Below are 20,832 nucleotides of genomic sequence, written 5' to 3'. Positions count from 1 at the left end.
ACAATCTAGGCTCACTGCATCCTTGACCTCCCAGGCTCAAGCAATCCTCCCACCTTAGCCTCCTTAGTAGCTGGGACCACAGGCACATGCCACCACACCCGGCTAATTTTTTGTATTTTTTGTAGAGATGGGATTTTGCTACGTTTTGCCCAGGCTGATCTCAAACTCCTGGACTCAGGCGATCTGCTCACTTTGGCCTCCCAAAGTACTGGATTACAGGTGTGAGTCACCACACCCAGCCAACAACTTACTTTTTACACATACCTTTAGCCTTCTATCTTGTGCATAAAACAAATTAAACCTACATACATGTGTACTTGCCCTCCCTGCCCCATGCCTGCCTGGCAATGTCCCCCGGTATCTCCTGACACTCCCTCCTGACAGCTACCCACTCCTCTAGACAACCTGAAATGGCACCTGAGGCTTCAAGTCAGCCTCTTCTCATTTGCTTAATTGCTAATGGAGCTGGTGGTAATTTTCCATCCAAGAGTTTCATTTTTTTTTTTTTTAGAGCCAGTTGGAAGCATCACCATTTCAGGAGCTCTGAACTCTAGCATCTGTTCTGTCTCCCTCCTGAGGCAGACGCCTGGCAAGGATAAAGCCACAGGATGTGGCTGTGGATGGATTTAGGGAGCTGGGCATTTTCTTAGTCCAAGTGTTGGAGAACTGTCCCCTTGCTCCACTTCCTCATCTCCTGCAGGTGAGCCAGCACAGATGGCCCCTGGCAGGGACCTCAGCAGCTTCCTCAAGCCAGAGAAGAAGACCCCTACCTTGGAGGAGGATGGGAGGAAGCCAGACTTTCTCCCAGATAGGCGCCTCCATCTCTAGAAGCCAGACGTTGCCATGGAAACTGAGCTACTGGTGGCCACTGTGTGATTTGGCCCCTGTGCTCGCTCATCCCCAGCCAGGTTTGGTCTCCTGTCAGTGCAGCCTATCCATGCTAGGGCATATAGTTCCCCAGCTCAGTTTCCCAGTGCCCTTTCTTGGTGTTTCAGGACAGCCTGTTGGCAAGTGAGCAATGGCAGAAATCCTGTTTCAGAAACCTAGGGATTACAACCAGGGACAAGCAAGGAGGAACCTGCTTTTCTAGCCAGAACAAACAGAACCTCTCTGCAGTCCCTTTCTCGGGGGCCAGGTGAGATGAGCTGCAGGAAGCAGAACAAGGTGCCCTGAGGATCTCTCTGAGAGGGGAATGGTGATTCCCATTTAGGTAGAGGCATCCACGCCAGTTGAAGATGTAAGTGGCTCTGTATTAAAAGTCACCCCAGGCAGCCCCAGGGATTCTGGATGAAAGAGGATGGCAGCAGGAAACCTTGACGCTTCCTAGCACCTCATTCACCCTGATCTTAGCGGTCGCAATGAGGATGATAATGATAATCAGCACCTAGTAAACCATGGCTCTGGGCTAAGCACTGAAGAGATAGAATAGGATAAGTGACTCATCCAAGGTCCCATAGGTTGAAAGAGGCACAGGAGGATTTCAGTCTGGGACGGTCTAAACCTAAAAGGTCTAGGCTCTGGGGTACAGCCAGTAGCCCAGGGTCTTTATTGGAAGATCACTTACATGCATAGGCAGTAGCTTAAAAATGCTACTTGGAAGCATGAACTCTGAGAATCACCAAGCTGGAAGGAACTGGAAAAGTTCTCTTTCCTATAGGAACTAGGAGGCACCTGGCTGGATTGGGCAGAACATTGTCCAAGGGGCAAGAGCAAGTTGGAATGGAGGGGAACTCAAGTGAGTACCATGGGAACAACCTCCAGCTTTGTGGAGTAGGGGCTGGGTCAAGGTTAGATGCAACCAGAGGTCAGGCGCAGGGTCTTTCTGATCAAGGAAGGAAACCAAGATAGAGACAGGCAACATGGAAGAACCTAGGACCTCAGCTGTGACCAAGACAGCATTGCAGGAGTTGCACTTCTATCAGGAGTGGCTTAAGTTCATTCACCCCTTCAATACCCACTGATTAAATGCCCACTATGTAGCTTTTCCCTTGTGGGTGTTACCATATGGAAGGGGAAGACGGACATAAAACAATCTCTGTCTTTCTCTATCTCTCTCTGTCTGTCTCTCTCTCTCTCTCACACACACACACACACACACACACACACACACACACACACACAGAGTAATTATACAGTTTAGATAGGCTGGCCAGGAAAGACCCCTTTGAGGCTGCATTTTAGATGAGACCTAAAAGAGGAGAAGAGTTCAGTCATGTAACCATCTGGGAAAGCTATCCCAGGCAGGGGGCTCATGGCATCAGAGGATCCCGAGGTAGAAAAGAGCTTAGTGAGTTGAAGGCAGTGTGGCTGGAGCCCAATGCAGGGGAGGACAAGATGAGGCTGGGAGGTAGGCAGGGCTGCACTGTGTGGGGCTGATGGGTCATAATTAGGAGTTTGGATTGAATTATAAGGGTAATGGGAAACCAGTGGAAGGTGTTAGGCAGAGCAGATGCCATGACTGAATCTAAGTTTTAAAAGATCATTCTAGAAATTGTTGCATGGTAGCCTTTCAGGTCTTCAGGCAGCTGGTCATTCTCCTAAGTCCTCTCTGGGTTGGACTCAACTTGCCCTTGAATCTTGGGGAAGGAGGGACAGGAGAAGCTGGGGAAAAGAGGGAGGAAGGGAATGGAATAGACCTCACCTCCTTATCATTTCCTACAAGCCCCACTTTGGGGAGACCAATTTCATGGTGAAGTGCAAATGGGGAGTCTTTCCTTCCCTTGCTTCCTGGTGATGAAATCATTAACATGTTCCAGATACTGCTGCAAAGGTGGGTCAAATCTGTGTAGCCCAGCATGGGGGCGGGCCTGAGCCTGGTTCACTTGGGCTGATTTGGTGTGGACAGCTATGTCTCTTTGCTCCTTCTTTCCCTACACCTCCTCTGGGAAGAAGAAAACTAGACTGTTCCATGGGTCTGTAGAGTGGCTTTCACAACAGGAGGCCTCTGAGTGATCAACCACGGGAAGGAAGCCTTCAAGGGCTGGGAGGAAAATGGCAGAAGACAGAGGTTAAGAAAAAGGAACTAGGAAGGCTCCTAAAAGGAAGACAAATGGGCAGGGCAGGGAAACTGGGAGTAGGAGGACCGAGCAGCTCAGGAGGAAAAAATTAAAACATATTATGTGTCTTCACTGGATTTATACTAATTTTTGTAAAACAATGTGGGGAAAGCATCACTCATCACCCTTATACCAGTGCCAATGACAAACCATTGAGGAAAGACCCTTCTCCAGGGACAGGTCTGCAAGTAGAGAACCATGCCAGACAGCTTGAGGGAGAATGAGAACAACAGTTTATCTGCAACAGCCCTTGTGTGCTGCCTCCAGGAGATTCTTGTGGGATGAATGCATATGGGGGCAGAGAGATTTATTTTAAACGGTTTCGGTCACACCTCTTTTGGCCTGCCTGGTGGGCGAGGCACGTAGGTTACTTGCTGGAAAGAGACTCTAATGGGGGAACAATGAGAGCAGCAAGAAGGGGCTAGTGGCCTCTTCTAGTTCCTTCCAACCTGGCAGCAGGCAAGCTCCTATTCTGACACCTGAGCCCTTGTGGTGGGGCCCGTTCTGAGTCAACCAGAGCACAGGCCGGGGATAGAGGCAAGGAGGCAGCAATTCAACAGTGGTGAGTAAATTTAAATGCTTTTATTAACAATCTTCTTACATTACAAGGATAATATGACAAAAAGAAAGTTTCTGCGTACATATTATGATAAACCAACATAGCTCTATTTGTATCCAGTGTTCTAGGTCCCGTCACACAGGTACTATAAAGCGTAGTCTGCAAAATAATAACATCAAGAGGTTTTTTTTAAAGAAAGTATTAACATATTAATATGTATGTGATAATAGACTCCTAGGTATTTCCCCCCATCCCCACTTATTTTTCCTTTGTGATTGACATGAAAATGGTTCAGCAGCGTGGGGGTGGAGAAGAGAGAGACGGGGGCTGAAATAGACGGAATCAGACTGCTGGTTCTTCCGGAGAGACAAAAGTGAAGACTGAGAGGTGCCCGAGGGCAGCCTGGCCTTTGTCTTTTGGTGAGCAGTATTGTGACCGCTGTCCCCCTCTGGACAGAGGGCTCGGTCCCTTGGTGCCCCTGGCGTGCTCTCTCTCTGAGGTACAGTGCATTGTGGGATTGCTACCTGGGGATGCCCATCCCCTGGCCGTGGGTCTAGTCCACTGCAGTGGGAAGAAGGCTCGGCCCGGCCTGGTCTCTCTTGAGCCAGGTACTGGAGGGTGTCCCAAGACCCAGTTGGCAGCTAACTGTGGCTCAAGGAGGTGGGCATTGGCAGAACAGACCCGCCCTGGGCTGCAGGTGGAGGGGTGGGCCTGCTGGAGACTGAGGTACTTGTAGGATGGTGGGGAAGAGCAAGACAGGGGCAGAGGAGGCTCAGGATGGGAGCAAATGCCCCTTCGGACCCCAAAAGCAGAAGGCTGGTCTGGAGAGAGGGAGCATGCAGCTGCCCTTGCTCCATCATCTGGTGCCTGGTCAGGCCCTCTCTCCTACCTCCAGGAGGAAAAAAACAGAGAGAGGAAACTGCGAGCAAATGGGCTTCTGGGTCCCGTCAGGGCTGCACAAGCCCTCTGTCATGCTGCCAGCTTGCACCAGTGCCCCCGCGTGGCCCCCAGACATCCCCGCCCGGCCCGGGCTAGGAGCTGGTGATAAACCCAGGGAGGGGCCCTCCCCAACGAAAGTGGATGAGCTTGGGGTATCCCAGCTCAGCCTCTGCCTCAAGTCACAGAATGCGAACAGTGTATGTGAACTAAACCTGCCTGTTACGGCGGGAGTGGGGTAGGGGCCACGGGGCCTCTGTGAGGGAGGGGGAACAGCGTTGTCCTGAGTACAGCCAGCAGCAGCTGCTGCGCGGAGCGGGCTGGGCCAAAGCCCTGCTTCTGGACTGGAGTAGCCATTGAATTTATGAGTGTGCAGATATGTCTCTCCCACCGTTTCCTGCTAGCTGATGCCCCCTGCCCTGGCCAGAAAGCCTGTGGATGGTGGGCAGCGCTGCCTGGCGATGCTCATGCTGCCCACATCCTCTCCTCCTGACAGTGGTTGAGCAAGTGAGGGAGGCCAGGACGGCTGCACTTCAGGGGCTTGGCCTCTAGGGGCAGCAGAAGCATCTAACAGGGCAGGGGCGGTATCTTTCCTGGACCAGCTCTTGATCCAGTTTGGACCTTTCCTATTGCCACTGACGCTGCTCAGTCCTGGTGCGGGAGGGTTTTGAAGGAGTTTGTGCAGTGGTCCCTCCACCAGGAGTCAGAGACCACGTCCTACTGCCAAGCAGCAGTGACCGCCTAAGCGTGGGCTGTGGGGGTGGGGAGAGGTAGGGGGCACCTCAGCTGGAGCTCAGGGGGTATCTCCTTCCAACCTCAGACCAAGCCTGTGGAAAAGGAGAGAAAGTGCATGGAGCGAGCCGGGACCCAGCCACTCTCCTCTCCAACACTCCGGGTAGGAGGCCCCCTTGCCAGCCAACCCTGCCTGCTGGCCTTCCCCGGCTCCCTCTCCGAAGGCCGTGCTCCCTTCCCCTTTGCACAGCACAGCGCCAGGCTTCCCACTGCTCTCCCAGCTCTATAGACTCTATTTTTATATCTATTTAAAACATAGAAATGTATAAATATATAGGATATTATTTATAGATATATAGACGTGATTTACTCTCTTACTCTGTGTGTATACGTACTGTATATGTCCATATATACAACATATATGCTGTAGCATCTGTATTCTACACTGCACATACCCCTGCTTCCATGCACTCTCTCCTAGGGAGACTGGATTGCATAGGTATTTCCAGGGTGATACCACTTGAGGGGGTGGGGGGGAAGGGAGTGCCAGATGGAAGTGGAGGGGCGTACCATTTTCCTCCCAAAAGGGCACTTTTTCTCCCTCTGGCTAACATGCAAACATTGCCTGAAAGGCTCCTTAAAAATATCACAGCACCATCCACTCAGCTCAAGCACCCTAACCAACAGATGGCAAGAGAAGGGCCCCCACCAAGTGGGAGATGGGTTTCCCTCCAAGCAGGAGAAGGGCCGTGCCAGTCTCTTGGGTCCTCCTGAGGACTGAGGAAGAGGCCAGACTAGAACCCATGACACGGCACCACCTCCCCAGAAGACTGGTGTCTGGAATGGGCACACCACTGCCCTCTGAAAACCCCTTTCTTGTCTGAGGAGGACTGGCCTGCCTGTTTCAGCTGTTTCAGCCTGGCCTGGCTAGATCTGCCTCTTGAAGCAGGGAGGGGGCACAAGTCCAATGCCTTCTGCCAAAATTGGACCTATGGGCCAAGAAAAAGCATGAATTCGACTTGGAAATCAACCCAGACTGAAAGCCAAAAGCAGACCTAGGTCTAGAACTCCCATTCCTAGAGGGGGTAGAAGGAAAATGAAAGGGGGGATCCAGAAGAGGGAAGTTATACTTCAACCCCTCAGGCCACCTCCTGGGTCCCATCAGGCTCCAGGTGATCAAGTAACATGGCACCAGCCCCTCAGTGCCGGCTGGGCCAGGGCTGTGGGCCCACAGTAGGGTCTCAGCTATTGTTTCCAGCCTTCTGCATGCTTTCCCCCCTGTTGGCACCACCTCCAAATGAATGGAAAACATTTAAACATTACCTTAAGTAATTACAAGGTACTTTTCCTAAATTAAAGGGTTGGCATAAGCAACTCAAGGGGAGGACCACCTCAGCAAAACAACTCAACTTGGAAACATGTGGCAGAGGCTGAGGTCAGAGACCCCCAAGTGCCATAGATTCCAGGGCCCAGCACTGAACCTTGCCATCCAGGGACCCTGGAACTTGAGCCTGCTCTCAGTCCCAAGTGAGGATGGGGAAATGAGGATGTGCCTAGCATCACAAGGTGTCATAGGCCAGTCATTAGAAAAATTAAATTAAATAAGGCTGCTGTTTCTGATGCCTGGACTCTCATATTCAACCAGGCAGGCAAAACTTGGGGATTCTGACATGGCAAGAGTTACAGACTTGACTGCGCTGTCCTCATGTTTCACAGATACTAGATGGCAGTGGATTTTTTCTTTGTCCTCCATGAAGGAAAAGCAGATCATATTAATCATAAGGGCTCTGGCTCCCAGGCTCTGCCAGGTATCACCTTGGCACAGTTGGCCACAAACCTGGGCCTCAAGGTTGATCTCACTTCCCACCAACCCTACGAGCCAAAGAAAGTCACTAATCAGCCAGCCCAGTTATGCCAAGTCTCAGCCCCAGAGACACACTTCATTCTAAGCCTGTAGTCATCACTCCTAAGCCAGAGGCTGAGTTAAAGGGCTCTGTCTTGTCTGAAGTAACAACATTTGGGATCCACCAACTGCTTTTCCACAGTTCTGTATACACATCAAGGGGAGATTAGGTTAGCCAAGCATATGCTCCCTGGGCTAGACCCTGAGTGTCCCATCAGTCCAAGTCCTTCTCAAGCAAGCAGAAGAGTGGGAAATGCCTATGACAGAAATCATGGGTAATCACATGCAGAATTCACAGGACAGAAGCACTGGGCCTCCCAGGGAGCATCCAAGCTGAGAAGAGACCCCGTGTAAATTGCAGTGGTGTATCACCCAAATTATTCCCTGTCCCATGGCAGTGTGGCCTACAGAGTGTCTGCCACAGCCCTGGCATGGCTAAATTCAGCAGAAGCCACAAGCACCCAGAGTTTTAGGGATGCCCTAACCTAACTTCAAGACCACCTGAGAGGTTAGCTTTTCCGAGGTCTGGTGGCCAGCTCAGGAAGTGACCCCTGCAGCTGCATGCTGTGCATAGCAGCTCATTCTGCTAGGCCAGAAGTGGGTCACCTGCTCTCAGCTTTCTCAGGAACTACAGGGTAGGCACTGGCACTGGCCCATAAGCTTTTCCCCTTCTAGCTGAAGATTTTAGCTCATTTTGGCCATGATCTCTTGAGAGGAAAAAGAGTAGCTCCAACTGACCAGGTGCTCAGGAAGACACTGGTTCTCTCTTCCTGGTTTTCAAATGAGCGGGAGCCTTAGCCTGCTCCTCCCTACCCATTACCCAATGTAAGGTGTAAGGCAACTGTTGGCTAGAAGAAAGGATCTCAACCTACTGTTTCTGCCCTCACCAAGCCCTGTCTTGCTAGCCATCTCTGCCCTCAACCCTTCTTAGTCTCTGCAATGTTCAGTGAAAACTCCCCAGACACAGCAGTTTGCGTGTGTGAGGGGAGAGGAAGTCCCAAGGCTGGGGCTGGGCCAGGTGGGACCTGGTGCTTTGCAACAGCATCCCATTTGACCACAGTTAGGTTTTGACCCTGATGGGAGGAGCAGATGGAGGGAGACATCAGTTTAAAGTGGGGAAGTGGAATGGGGCTGGGAATCTCAAAGCCTCAGAAGGAGGCTTTCAGCCTTTCCTTGCTAGTTCCTGCTAACTGTCTTCTTGCTCAGAGGAGGGTAGGGAAGCATGTGTGCAACTGGGGTGGGAGGTGGGGTGGATGTCACCAGGCAGGGGTGCATTGATTTGTTGAAGAAGGCAGCATATGAGGCCTGGCAGTGGGACAGTTGGAGGAACCCATTTTTTTTTGTTTTTTGTTTTTTAACATGCTACATCACTGTTGAAAACAAACAAAAATATTTCAAAAATAATATATAATATATATAATATATTTATATAATGAAAAGCTATTGACTAGCAGCAATGATTCTAAAGTTATCTTAGCACCAAGACCATGGAGGTGAAGGGGAAGGGATTGGTAGGGGATGAAGGGACTGGTGGAACCAAGAAAGGGCTATAACATGTTCAGTGTTGATGACATTTCCACTATGGTTCTCAACGGTGGCATGAGGCCTCAGAGACAACATAAACCAAGAAGGAAGGAAGCCACCACAGTTTTATAATGTCTGAACCAAGCAGGCTGAAGACATTGGGGCCTTGCCTGTGGCCAGATAACACCACCCTCTGCCAACCAAGAGATGAAGCTCTCAGCAGAACTGACCACATGTATATAATTCAGATCTTCCTCCCTCCCCCAAAATGACCTGCATCCACGTGATAGGATCTCTGCATATAAAATATGCATAAATCAGATGTAGGAACATGAACAGAAGTTTTTAACAGCTCACGCACATTTTTTAAAACTCCCTTGCGAGGTATACCGGTAGTTAAATGAATGAAAGAGCATTGATCAGACTCCTCTAGTTTAAACCACTACTTGCCCCAGGGAATAGGCAAGTGGCTATTTCTAAAGCTTATATTGTATATTGTGATTGTGTGTGTGTGTGTGTGTCTGTGTGTGTGTGTGTGTCTGTGTGTGTGTGTGTGTCTGTGTAGGCTGATGCCTTGAGAGTCCTCTCTTCTTTTCTCCATTTCTTTAGGACATCTCTACCCTGTTCAAAAAAGGAAGAGTTTACAGGCAGAGACACATTCCCCAGTTTCCTATGACCATGTAGCATGTTATCAGCCTTGTTGCAAAAGGAGGACCACATCTCTACAGACTCTCATTTGAGTTATGCATAACTTAGGGCACAATTTGCATTGACACTACCTGCCACTGAACTATAGCAGGCATTTCTTGATTATTAAAGGAAAAAAAATACCCTCAACACATGATATGATTATAAAGAAAAAGTATAAATAATCCATGTAACTCGAATATGTACTTTTCATTTTCCTTGTTTTTTAGCCAAAAATCACTCCCCTGTTGGGGTCTGGACTTCTTGGCTCTTCATCTCCCCAAAAGCCCTGGATTGGAATGGAATTATATTGTTTTATCCTCCACCTCGTAAAAACAGGAATGCTAAAAGCTTACCCCTTCTCCCTTCCCCAGGATTTCAAGCTCAGCGGTGAGGCAATGTTGCCTTCAGTATAATGGGTAATATTGTGAGTTTCCAGGGGGGGCTGGAAGGAAGGGATCCACAACCCAGGGATGGACGAGGCAACAGAGGTGAGGTGTGGCAGTGTCACAGTTTGACCGACACTTTTGTTTGTAGGACAGTGAAGGAACCCTCATCAGGAAATGAATAAAAAAAGATCTCAAGCTGAAGTCAGGTGGGGAGGGAGAAAGGTCAACCCCCCTGCCTCCCAAATGCAGACAGACAACCCACCCTGACTTAAGTCAGAGATCTGATTCAGCCGGACCAGAATGTCAATGAGGAGGCTGAGGAGCTCCCTCCCATCATAAAACCAAATGAAAAAAGAAAAGGCAAGAACATAAACCCAAACCCAGAGCCCCGCCACCCGCAAATGAAAACATAAACAAAATGAGCTACCTAAAGGTGATGACAGAGACCTGTCATTTTAGCTTATGCTGTTGGTGGACAGTAAGGTGGGAACACAGGAGGCCCCAGCACGTGCTTCTGTGAGTGAAAATGAGTTGCCATGTATGTTGCAGCTGCCAAATTTTGTAGACAAGAGTCAGTTTCCAACATTTTTCCTTTCTGAAATCTCCCAGTGGCTTCTGGTGGACGCGTCACCTTGGTTTTTAAAAATTTTCAGTGTGAGTTTATATATATATATATATATAATATAATATAATATAATATAATATATATTTATATAATATATCAAAGCTTATGAGTATAGATTAAAAAAATATTCAACAGCTTAGTGAACTCTGCAGCGCCAGCTCCCTAAATGTCGGGGTAAAACTCCGTCCCGTGGTCCATGGTCTGTAGTGCTGGCTTCTGCTCCAGCGCAGACATCCTACTGAGGACTTCTGCAGACAGCGCGTAACTGTTCCCAGACTTCTCCTCAAACCAGCTGTCCAGGGCTCGCTTGGCATCAAAGTTGGTGATTGGCGGTCCGTTTACAGCGATTGTCAACAGGTCGCTAAGCTGCTCCAGGGTCAGGCGGGAGCGGTGGTTTTTGCGAACTCGCTGGAGGGCATTGCGGCCTTTCTCGCAGCAAGCGGTGGAAGTGGGGAGGACTTTAAGAACCTGGATGATCTTGTTCAAGAGTGGAAACCTCTGTTTGTACTTGCAAATGTGGCTGATCAGGTCTTTGAAGCCATTTTTGGTGTAGTAATCAGCCTTGAGTTCTCGCCACTCCATCAACAGACTACCCCGGGGGTCCAGCCCTTCCCTACAGACATCCCGGGAAAAGGTCGGGATGGCCTCCAGGTGATCAAATATTTGCACCATATCCTCCTTGCCATAGCTCATCAGCTCCTCACTGCTCCTGGGCCAGGCAGCCAGGTCAAACACCTGGCAGGCCTTCACAAAGATCCGGCTGCGGGAGTCGAACCTCTGAGCCAGGATGACCTGGGTCTTCTGGCAGATCTTCTCCCTGATGGACTGGAACTTGGCTTCAGCCACCCTGAGGTTCTTCATGGCGATCCCGTTGAAGCTCTCTCGGAAATTCTCCTCGAACTCCTGCAGGTATTCTCCCGGGGAGTCAGCCAGCCGGCTGATCTCCTGGATGGCCTCCTCGATCTTGTCATCCACCTGGGACACCAGCAGGTACTCGCCCTGGAAGATGTAGGCCAGACGCGAGAGCACAGCAATCACGTCCAGCAGGAAGTAGATGAGCTTGATGGACTGGTAGTCCATGAGGAACTGCAGCAGGGCCAGTGCGATGGCCGAGGCGTCTGCCCGCTGGGTCTGGCTGCTGACCTCCTTGAGATGGGCCACCACCTCCAGGTAGTCCTTGATGAGAGCGTTGAGGACGTTCTGCTCGCCGATGATCCACCGCACTGCCCGGATATCGCCCAGGAACTCTGTCTCCTCACAAAGGGTGGCCGCCGTGGACCGCAGCTCGCACATGAGGCGCGGTGAGTAGCGGTAGAAGCTCAGCAGCTGCTTCAGGTTGTTCTCCAGCTCCTCCAGGCATGGGAGCTCCTTCCCGCTGATGGCATCCAGGATCTCCAGGTGGGGCCGGTGCACCATGAAGGGCAGGCACAGCAGCCAGGGCAGCGTCTTGCGGATGGTCATGAACATGCTGGCACGGAGGCTGGCTGTGATGTTGGCTCCATCTACACCCAAGCCAACAGTTGGCTTTTCATCCTGCAACCGGATGCCCAAGGCCGAGAAGGCCCGGTCAAGTGCCTGGAGATAGCTTTCTGTGCTAGAGAATCCCAGCTCCTGCAGGGACAGGAACTCTGTGGCCGGGGGCCCATCACTGCTGGTGTACTGAACATAGACAGCCACCGTGTCGGCCAGCAGGTCGTCGCTCTGCCCATCCAGGATGACGCTGAGGCAAGGTGACTGGCGGATGCGCTCCACCAGGTCTTCCCGCAGGGCCCGGGCGATGTGATGGATGAGGATCTGGCAGTCTCCCTCATTCATGTACTGGTCCACCACCTTGAGCTCACACTTCCTCAGCAGCTCCGCCAGGGGCCGGAAGTCCAGGTAGGGCCTGCCCTCCAAGGCCAGGTGGTAGGCGGTGTTGAAGAGCAGGGTCATGTTGCGACACATCTCCTCTGTCTTCTCCGGGTGCATGCGGAGCTTGTACAGTTGCAGGCACTTCTTGTGCAGGTTGCTCTGGCTGTGAAGTTTGATGGTGTGAATCTTAAACTGCTTGGAGCCAATGATGAAGGCCGAGGTGCGTGAGGACTGCACCGTGTACTGGCGGCAGACGTGGCACCACATCTCATTGAGGGTTGGGGAGTACCGCAGGAACCAGAACTTCTTCAGCCATTCCTGCTTAAAGCGCCGGATTCGGCGCCCGGTGGCCGATGACATCTTGGAGGGCTCATCCGTCGCTGTCATCATATCATTGGAGACAGATTCATCTGCTGAATCGACTTCCTGGTCATCATCCTCCATGATGGCGGGGCCGGAGACCATGCTTTCTGAGGCTGAAAAACAAATGGGAAAGAAACATTTATACCTGGGGGAGAAAACAGGCTTTTCCAAAATCCACAGGAAACACTCCTGGAAGGTAGGTGCCACACCATGGGAAACAGAAGTCCGTGGAAGCCTATGATGGATTGAATCCCAGCCCAGAATTAGTTTATGAGCACTCCTGCTTGCCCATGTGACTTTTACTCTCCCTGTGATTGTCCACGGTTGCCTTGTCACACCCACCAGATTTCAGGCTGCCTGCCCTTGCCCTCCATGTGTGGGTGTTTGAGGGATTTAAATGCCCCCTATCAACTGGACAGCTCAAGCTAGGAGAGTAGATCTAATGGAGGAGGAAAAGCACATCACACATTCCAAAGTTATATAGCAAGGACTTGGGATTCATTTGCCCTTCATTAATGTGAACAAAGGCATCTTGGATATGGCCCCAAGTGATTTCAGGATCAAAATGCAGTTTAGTTCAGACGCATGCTTTGAATACAAGAAACACCTCATTCTGAGCTAAGGGATGTGGTTAAAAGAGTAAGTGCTATGTAAACAGTCTCCCTCAGCTGCAGATATGAACTAGAACACCTGCCTAGTTGTCAACCAACTCTAGAAATCCAGGTAGCCAACAGAATAGGGCAAAGCCATGCAGGTGAATGGCCTGGATCCCCTCACTCTCCATCCTTCTAGAACTCCAGGCTAGGGAACTGGGACCATGTGTGGCAGGACAGAGATTCAGGAAGAGAAGAACAAGGCTGTGTTCCTGGACTAAGTTAGGGAAGCCAAGAGATCTCTCCAGTGGGACACCCTGCTTGAGACTGGGGACAGAGAAAGACTGGGTTTAGAAATTGGGCTTTGGGGTAAGACACCAGTACCAGAGAAAGGCAACGGGTCAAGAACACAGCACACACCCCTTCTGCAGCGGAACTTCCTTTATTGACAAGGAGGATACAAGGGCAACACATGGAGCACCTGGCAGAGCTGCCGATGGGTCTGCCAGAGACACTGAGGACCTGGGCTCCCACCCACGGAGGTAGCCGCCTCCACGTTACACTCCTCAGGTCTCCCGGAAGGTGGTTTCCACAGAGAGCTTTAGGCTACCCTCCACACAGCCCACTGCGTACTCTGCCCTCCGACAATAATCTCATCCAAACCAACTTACCTGCAGGGTCCGAGAACTCTGGGAGCTCCAGTACCTGTGGTGGCAATACGGGGGGCTCAGGAAGTTTCCCAGACTTAAGCATGTCTAATTCTGCCTGGAGCTCCCGAACCTTCTTCTTTAGGCGAATACAGTTAGGGCAAAAAGAGGTGGTGGGAAGTTCATGAGGGTCAGATGCAAGGGAGGCCTCGGCAGGACTGTCGGCCTTGAATGATGAAGGCTCCTCTTCTTCATCCTCCAATTGGCCTGGCTCCTTGGAGACCCCCTGGGGGACCTTCCAGTCCCCCTCCCCCTGGGTCTGGCCTATATTCTGCACACCATGGGTCATTGTTGTTGCACACTGACTGTAGGCGTCATCCTGGTATTTGGGGACTTTCCTGATGACCAGTGAGGTGCTCAGGGCCAACTGGTGGGCTTCCACCTTCGCAGATTCCAGTGAGGCCTCCAGAACATCCTTGAAAATCAGGTCAATTTTCTTCTTCTTAGCTTGGGGGTGTACATCCCCCTCATCAAAGCCACGCTTGTAGGGACTTTTGCCCTGTCTCAGCACAGAGAGATGAATGGGACCCCTCAGGTCTTCTGGGTTATCCAGAACCTGCTCAGACTTCTCCCTCTGCAACCTCTTCTCTCCTAGGAAGGAAAACCAGGGTGTAAGGAAATGGGGAAAACCCCCAAATTGGAGAAACCAACAGAAAACAAAGCAGGCCTCCTGTTAGGTCACCTGACACATCCCTCTAGATCTGGGCTTTTGGGGCAAGTGTTGCAAAGGGGAGATACGAATCACTCAGTGGTCCATCAGAGCTAGACTCATAGGACCTGAACGGTGGAAAGACCTTTTAGAAAGAGACAGTTTCCAAGAAGCCTCATGTCTACAAGCTCTACGGTTATAAGTTAAGAGAAATCTATAAGGGAGAGTAATTGAACATTCTTTCCTATGACCCTAGAAAACAACATCCCACTTAATCACACTGGGTGGTGGGAACATACCTCAGAGCCAAGTGAGTATCAACTCCCCCAACCTTTGCAGCTTCCCCTCAGCCCTAGCAATGACAAGATGGCTGCTTCGACTTGGTAAAAGGTACACATGAAACACCATAGGCCTCACTCCTTCCTCCTCCTTCGTTGCTCTGGAGACAGCCTACTTAAGGCAAAGTCCATCCTATGGCAACTGTCCTTTCTAATTCTCCCAGCAATCAGCAGACTAGGAACATGTGAGAAAGCATGATCTGAACTTCTGTTGTTCTCACTGACGACTAAGGGCAGAAGAAAGGGGAAGACAAGGAGACCTATGGCGCTGAGGGCTCCAACATGGCAGCCTCCGACAAGATAAAGGACAAGGTAGCCATAATGACCCAAAGCAGTCAGGAAATATAGCCATGTCTCCTCACTTGGCAATTCAAAGGACGTTTCCTTGCCTATTTCTTTCTATCATGTGAATTACCTCAATTCACTTTGAATTACTTTCAATTGTTTCAAAGACTTTGGTGAGCTCCTGAACCATAAATTATTTTAGACTGATTCCTTGTTTTTAATTTTTATTTTTTGAGACAGAGACCCACTCTGTTGTCCAGGCTGAAGTGCAGTGGTGCTCACGCAGCCTCCACCTTCCAGGCTCAAGTGATCCCCCCACTTCAGCCTCCCAAGTAGCTGGGACTACAGACACAAGCCATCACACCCTAATTTTTGTACTTTTTGTGGAGATAGGGTTTCGCCATGTTGCCCAGGCTGGTCTCAAACTCCTAGGCTCAAGCCATCTGCCCACCTTGGCCTCCCAAAGTGCTGAGATTACAGGCATGAGCCATGGCACCCAGCTAGCCTGATTCTTTAAAAATTACCAACATAGTTTCATAAACTGCCACAGAAGTGCTGATGCTTGCTGGTGAGAGATGCTAAAAAGGCAGAGGAATCTCTTCAGCCCTTAGAGGGTCCTGAAAGTAGCCTATGGAACTCAGAAATCTCAAAGGTTTCCTAGACCAGGTGCAGGGGCCCTAGGTGATGTGCCGCTGAACAATGACTTGAACTAAAACGTACTTAGGCTTCTGATGGCTCCATTTGCAAAAGACTTCTGATTGAAGGCCAAGGGTTTGCCAATAAGCAGTCCAGATGTTCCACGTCTGGTTTCCCATAGCTGGTATGGGTGCTGTGCCCTGCCCCATGTTTGACTTCAGGTTTCCTTTAGGTTACAGCACAAAAGGGAGTTATCTATTCAGGATGCACCTTTTCTGTCCTCACATGAATACCTAAGGAACAACTTTATCTCCAAGGCTTCTGGAACCCAGGCAGCTCCCCACAGCCTGCACTTCTATATCAGCTGAGCTACAGAAAGGGGAGAGATGGAGATAACTTGAAAATGCCACCTGTATGTCTTACAGATCAGATGCAGCACTTGCCCATTGAAAATCTCTAAAAATCAAGAGCCACATTTTCCTTTCCTCATGGGACAATCAGGCAGCAAACAACTGAGGACATCGGGAAATCAAGCCTAGAAATCACCAGAGATTCCTCGTCATTGTTTGAAAACAACGTTGTTCAAATTTCTTAGTATGATCTTTGTGGACTTAAGGCTTTCAGAAAAATCTACAGGCCAAAAGAGACCTTTAAGCATCATGAAATTGGTTCCAAAGCCTCCATACAACATGGAAAACAAAAACAAAGAAAACCTCAAAGTAAATTAGTGAATCAAAGTAGGTCAAATAACATAAATTGTTTGAATGCGAGCTTTAGATGCAATCTATTCTTAAAAGGTAACCACAAAGGAATAGTTTACACTCTCTTCAGGAAGACTTCTGGCAACAACCAATATCCCTACTTAATAAGAACTAATAATTCATGCTCTGGACTCCATCAGGGTGCCTACCTCCAATTACAAAGAAACCTCCTTCTATATAAGACCAAGAGTGATTGGGCATAGGGGATCTCCCTTTCAGAGCAGCAATGGCACACCCATCTGGGACACCACTAACCAGAGTCCGCTGAAGCTACAGGCTATAGAGGCACACATTTAAAAGCCACTGAGCTCCATGACCATTCCCAAGGGCTTCAGGATCACCCACAGCTGTGAAACTGCCCCACTGTGACTTTCAATTTCCTTCCTATTTCTTACTGCTCAGCCTGACCAGGAATAGACCCTCTTCCCTCCTGTATCTTCATATGTCTCGGTGTATCTCCTTTCAAGTCTGTCTGACACGCCTCCTTTGAACCACTCCAGAAAGCTCACACCCTTCTCTGAGCAATCCCCTGTGGTCTTGGGGCTCATGGAGGATGATGCAGCTTCAGGTGCTCTGGAGAAGACCACTGAGGGGAAGAAAAGGACATCACAAATCCAGAAGAATGCAAGAAGGTTATGACCAAGGGATGAAATCTGTGTTCTCAGATATGATTTCTCTGGGTTTTCTTTTCTTCTAGTGGTATGATTCTTTGGAAAGCTTCTTGGCTGTCTTCATTCATTTCTTCTTTTATCCATTCAACAAAGACTTATTGAGTCCCTACTATGTATCAGGCACTTTTACATGAGGCATCTCCAGAGGTCACATGGAAACCACTGCAGCCTCATCATGGAAGCACACCTTGCCAAGTGAAACCAACATGTGCCAAACCCTGAGATCCAAAGAAGACAAGAAATGAGTATGTTTATGGGGTCTCCTTTTACTGCCCATCATCTCCAGATACCTTTTACCAAGTCAGGCAGCAGCTGTGCACTCAATGTCCACAATTTGCTTTGCTCTGTTTTGCTTTTAAAGATAGCTTAATTTGAATAAGTCACTCCCACCCCCTTTTCATCTTCTCCCCTCATATTCCAAGTGAAGATTTATTTCCAATTAGTAAGTTGGTCAGGAACACGATATGGTGAGGCTTGGGAACAGCCTTGGTTCCTGGCACCAGATAGACTCTAGGTGTTTGGATGCGTGGTTTTAGTGGGGAAAAAAACAAACAAACAAACAAAAAAAACACCCTTGAAAGAAGGGCCTGGACTCACCAGTCTACACTGGTCAGGATGAGGATGGAATAAAAGGGTAAAGGACTAGGGGCTGAGAGTAGTTAAAACTGCTTCTGGATGGACACCGAACCCACCCGGCTTCCCACACCTAAGTCACCATCCCACCTCCTGCCAACCTTCTTCTTTTGATAGAGATTGTTTTTTCACCTCATCTCATTAGGACTGCAGTACAGACACCAGGAGGAACCCAGGAGGGGACTGGTTTTGTCTGGGACATCAGGTAACATTGCAGGTCAGAACTTAGACCTTGAAGTCAGACCAATATGGATTAGAAACCTAGTTCTGTCCTTCCTAGCCAGGTGGCCCTGGATGAATCACTGTATTCATTTGATATTCGGTTTGCACATCTGTAAGATGGGTAAAAGAATGCATGTGGGATCATGAGTATTAAAAGTTTATAGCTGAGGACTTCTGATGATGGAGGTGGGCATTGTCCTAAATGCCACATGTCCATGACTCCATCTACTTCTCAGGGTGCACTGACAGGGTAGGGATGGCTGCTATGATAATTACATGGGAACATGCAGAAAATCTGCTCACAGGCTATGGAAAATATATCAACACCAGATATTGCAGGTAACTGAAAAAATGAAAGGTCATTTCTTCTACTCTTCACAAACTTTTAACCACAGGGGTTCCCAGATACCCAACAGGCCTCTGACGGTGGTAGAGTGGGGTCCTTGGACTGTTGTCAGTATTTCACATATTGAGTATTTAGTAAATGTTACCTATTATTACGATCATTATTGAGGCAGTGGCAGTTTGTAACATCTTTTCATCAACTGGAGTTGGGGAAATAGGGTACATTTTGATTAAACATATTTGCTCGGTTTTGGGGGCGTCTCTCTCATGAATACTCTGAAATGTGTGTGGTAAGGATTTCTGAGACCATTTCTAGGGGTCGATAACATGCTGGGGTGGCCCCTGCTTGGCCCAGAGCTGCTGCTCAGACCTCAACCATCTGTTCCCCCGAATCACTCTGGGTCTTCCCATTGCTGGGAACCGTATTTCTCAGGAAGCTCCAAAACAAGCTATCCAGGCCTCCCCTGGGGCTCAGAGGTGGGCGCAGCTCATGTGGAGCATGGCACTCACCTCTGGCCAGGTTGCGGTGAATGGTTTCCTGGGACATGCTGTGCAGGCGCTTCATGTAGTCCTCGCTGTACCAGACCCGCAGCCACTCCCCAGGCCGGATGTCCCTGCACGCCCGGAAGTAGATGCGCTCACTGTGCTGGAACGCCAGCAGGTTCTGCTCCCTCTCCTCCCGGGAGATGACCACGTACCTGGTGGGGAGGGGAGACAGGTGAGAACGCACGGGCCACCCTTTGTTGAGTGCCCGCTGGTGCCGGCACAGTGCTGGGCAAGTGTGGATGGTTAGAAGTCCACAGGCACGTGGGCCCATGTGAACATCAGCAGAGCAGCTGCCCTGTCCGGAGAAGCAGCACCAGCCAGAACCCATCCCTGTCCCAACGTCACCGTGTTGTGGGACCTCAAGCAGATCTCCAAACCTCTAAGAATCTCTGTTTTCTGAGACTGGATATGACACCTGCCCTGCCTGCCTCACACCATATGGAAAATATATCAACTAAATATTATAAGTGATTGAAAAACTGAAAGGTTATCTCTTCTACTCTTCACTAACTTTTAACCACTGGGGTTCCCAGATACCCACAGGCCTCTGAAGGTGGTAAGGCTGGGGTCCTTCAACTGTTTCCAGTATTTCACAAAGCCTTGCTGAAATAGCCCCTGTGACAAGGTGTCCAAGAGATCAATTAATAAATGCTAAAGATCAAAATCTTTTAAAAAATGGGGGCTCCAGTGGGGACAGGGGAGGAAGGTAAATAACAGACTACAAAAGGTTGACAACCACTGGTTAATCTTACTAAATGATTTTAAGGTAAGGAGACTGAGGCTCAGAGAGGCCAAGCAACTTGCCCAAAGTCACACAGCTAATAAATGGGAGATGGAGCTTTGAGTCCTATGCACGTTTCCCACTGTAACTCATGGCTCCTATGTGGGCATGTAAAGCACCAACTCGGCAATGCCCAGAAAACCTTTAAAGTTCTGTCAAACCCTCAGAATCTATGGCCCTCGCCCATTCTCACTGAAACAACATGTGCGACATCCAGCCCACCACCCTACCCACCTCCAAAAGGTGGGATGAGGGAACACCTGCCGAGGAGTGAAGGTGTACAGATCAGAGGGCAAGAGGAAATTAGTTGACGTTTTAGGGTTCTGAGCTACACAAGCACCTAGGAAATTTGTAGTAAAAAATAAACTTCTTTATGTTATGGTTTGTCTCAAAAACAAGGGACAAAAATCAAAGTCTGTCTGATTGGTGTAGCCCAATGAATTATATCTGGAAAAGTCCAGGGGAAACAAAAATTCACAGAAGAATTCAGATGGATAATAAACAAATGAAAAGTATTCAGCATCACTAATAACAGAAACACAGCGTAGTACATTGTCTCATTGGCACAGATTTCTAAAAGATGATAATATCTCTATTGGTAAAGGTGGTAAGAAAGGTGTCTCCTGTACTGATGATGCAGAATTAACAGGTGCAACCCTTTAGGAAACAATTTGGCAATATGGCTCAAGAAACATAAGTTATGGATGAAGTATGCAAACCCGGCATACCAATATGCTGACTTGTATCATTGTGTATAGCAGTACAAAGGCAAAACATTTAAATGTCTAATACTAGATAAGATTTCGTAAATGATGTTACATTTATATAATGGAATGCTATTCATCTATAGAAAAATGTTTTCAAAGAATCTTTTATGACATGGAAAAATGGTGTTGAAATAAGATAGTGTGAGAACAATAGGACTGGAAGTAGACTATGGTTCCAATAATGCTTTAAAAACAAGCCCCAGTAAACGACTTGAAGGAAATATACCAATGTTTTAACAGTGACAACCCCTTACAGGTGGATCATCTTTGTAA

General features: G+C 49.1%; 1 protein-coding gene across 10 annotated transcripts in view, besides 2 other annotated features; it reads right to left on the bottom strand.

Moving 5' to 3' along the window:
• Nucleotides 1-3,623: 3,623 nt before the first annotated feature.
• The window catches only part of PRDM11 (PR/SET domain 11), a 140,951-nt gene continuing 123,742 nt past the window's right edge, over nt 3,624-20,832 (bottom strand). For 6 of the 10 annotated variants that reach the window (NM_001384648.1, XM_011520225.3, NM_001256695.2 and 3 more), the window contains 3 exons: nt 18,976-19,163; nt 13,890-14,516; nt 3,624-12,738 (listed from right to left, as the gene is read on the bottom strand). In NM_001384648.1, the coding sequence (NP_001371577.1) occupies nt 10,574-12,738; nt 13,890-14,516; nt 18,976-19,163 (2,980 nt within the window). In that variant the 3' untranslated portion in view covers nt 3,624-10,573. Of the gene's footprint in view, nt 12,739-13,644; nt 14,517-18,975; nt 19,164-20,832 lie in introns of those variants that run through there. The other 4 variants (NM_001359633.2, NM_001256696.2, XM_047427314.1 and 1 more) reach the window with 2 other exon arrangements.
• Nucleotides 18,606-19,165: an enhancer, noted in NCBI's record as "H3K27ac-H3K4me1 hESC enhancer chr11:45241119-45241678 (GRCh37/hg19 assembly coordinates)". NCBI's record gives its function as "activates a minimal SCP1, AML or CMV promoter by ChIP-STARR-seq in naive H9 embryonic stem cells {active_cell/tissue: H9 hESC(naive)}" and the evidence as "EXISTENCE:reporter gene assay evidence [ECO:0000049][PMID:30033119]".
• Nucleotides 19,166-19,727: an enhancer, noted in NCBI's record as "H3K27ac-H3K4me1 hESC enhancer chr11:45240557-45241118 (GRCh37/hg19 assembly coordinates)". NCBI's record gives its function as "activates a minimal SCP1, AML or CMV promoter by ChIP-STARR-seq in naive H9 embryonic stem cells {active_cell/tissue: H9 hESC(naive)}" and the evidence as "EXISTENCE:reporter gene assay evidence [ECO:0000049][PMID:30033119]".

Source organism: Homo sapiens, chromosome 11, assembly GCF_000001405.40.
Source record: "Homo sapiens chromosome 11, GRCh38.p14 Primary Assembly".
In the NCBI taxonomy this organism is placed as follows: Eukaryota; Metazoa; Chordata; class Mammalia; order Primates; family Hominidae; genus Homo; species Homo sapiens.
This window is presented reverse-complemented; position numbering and strand designations above follow the sequence as displayed.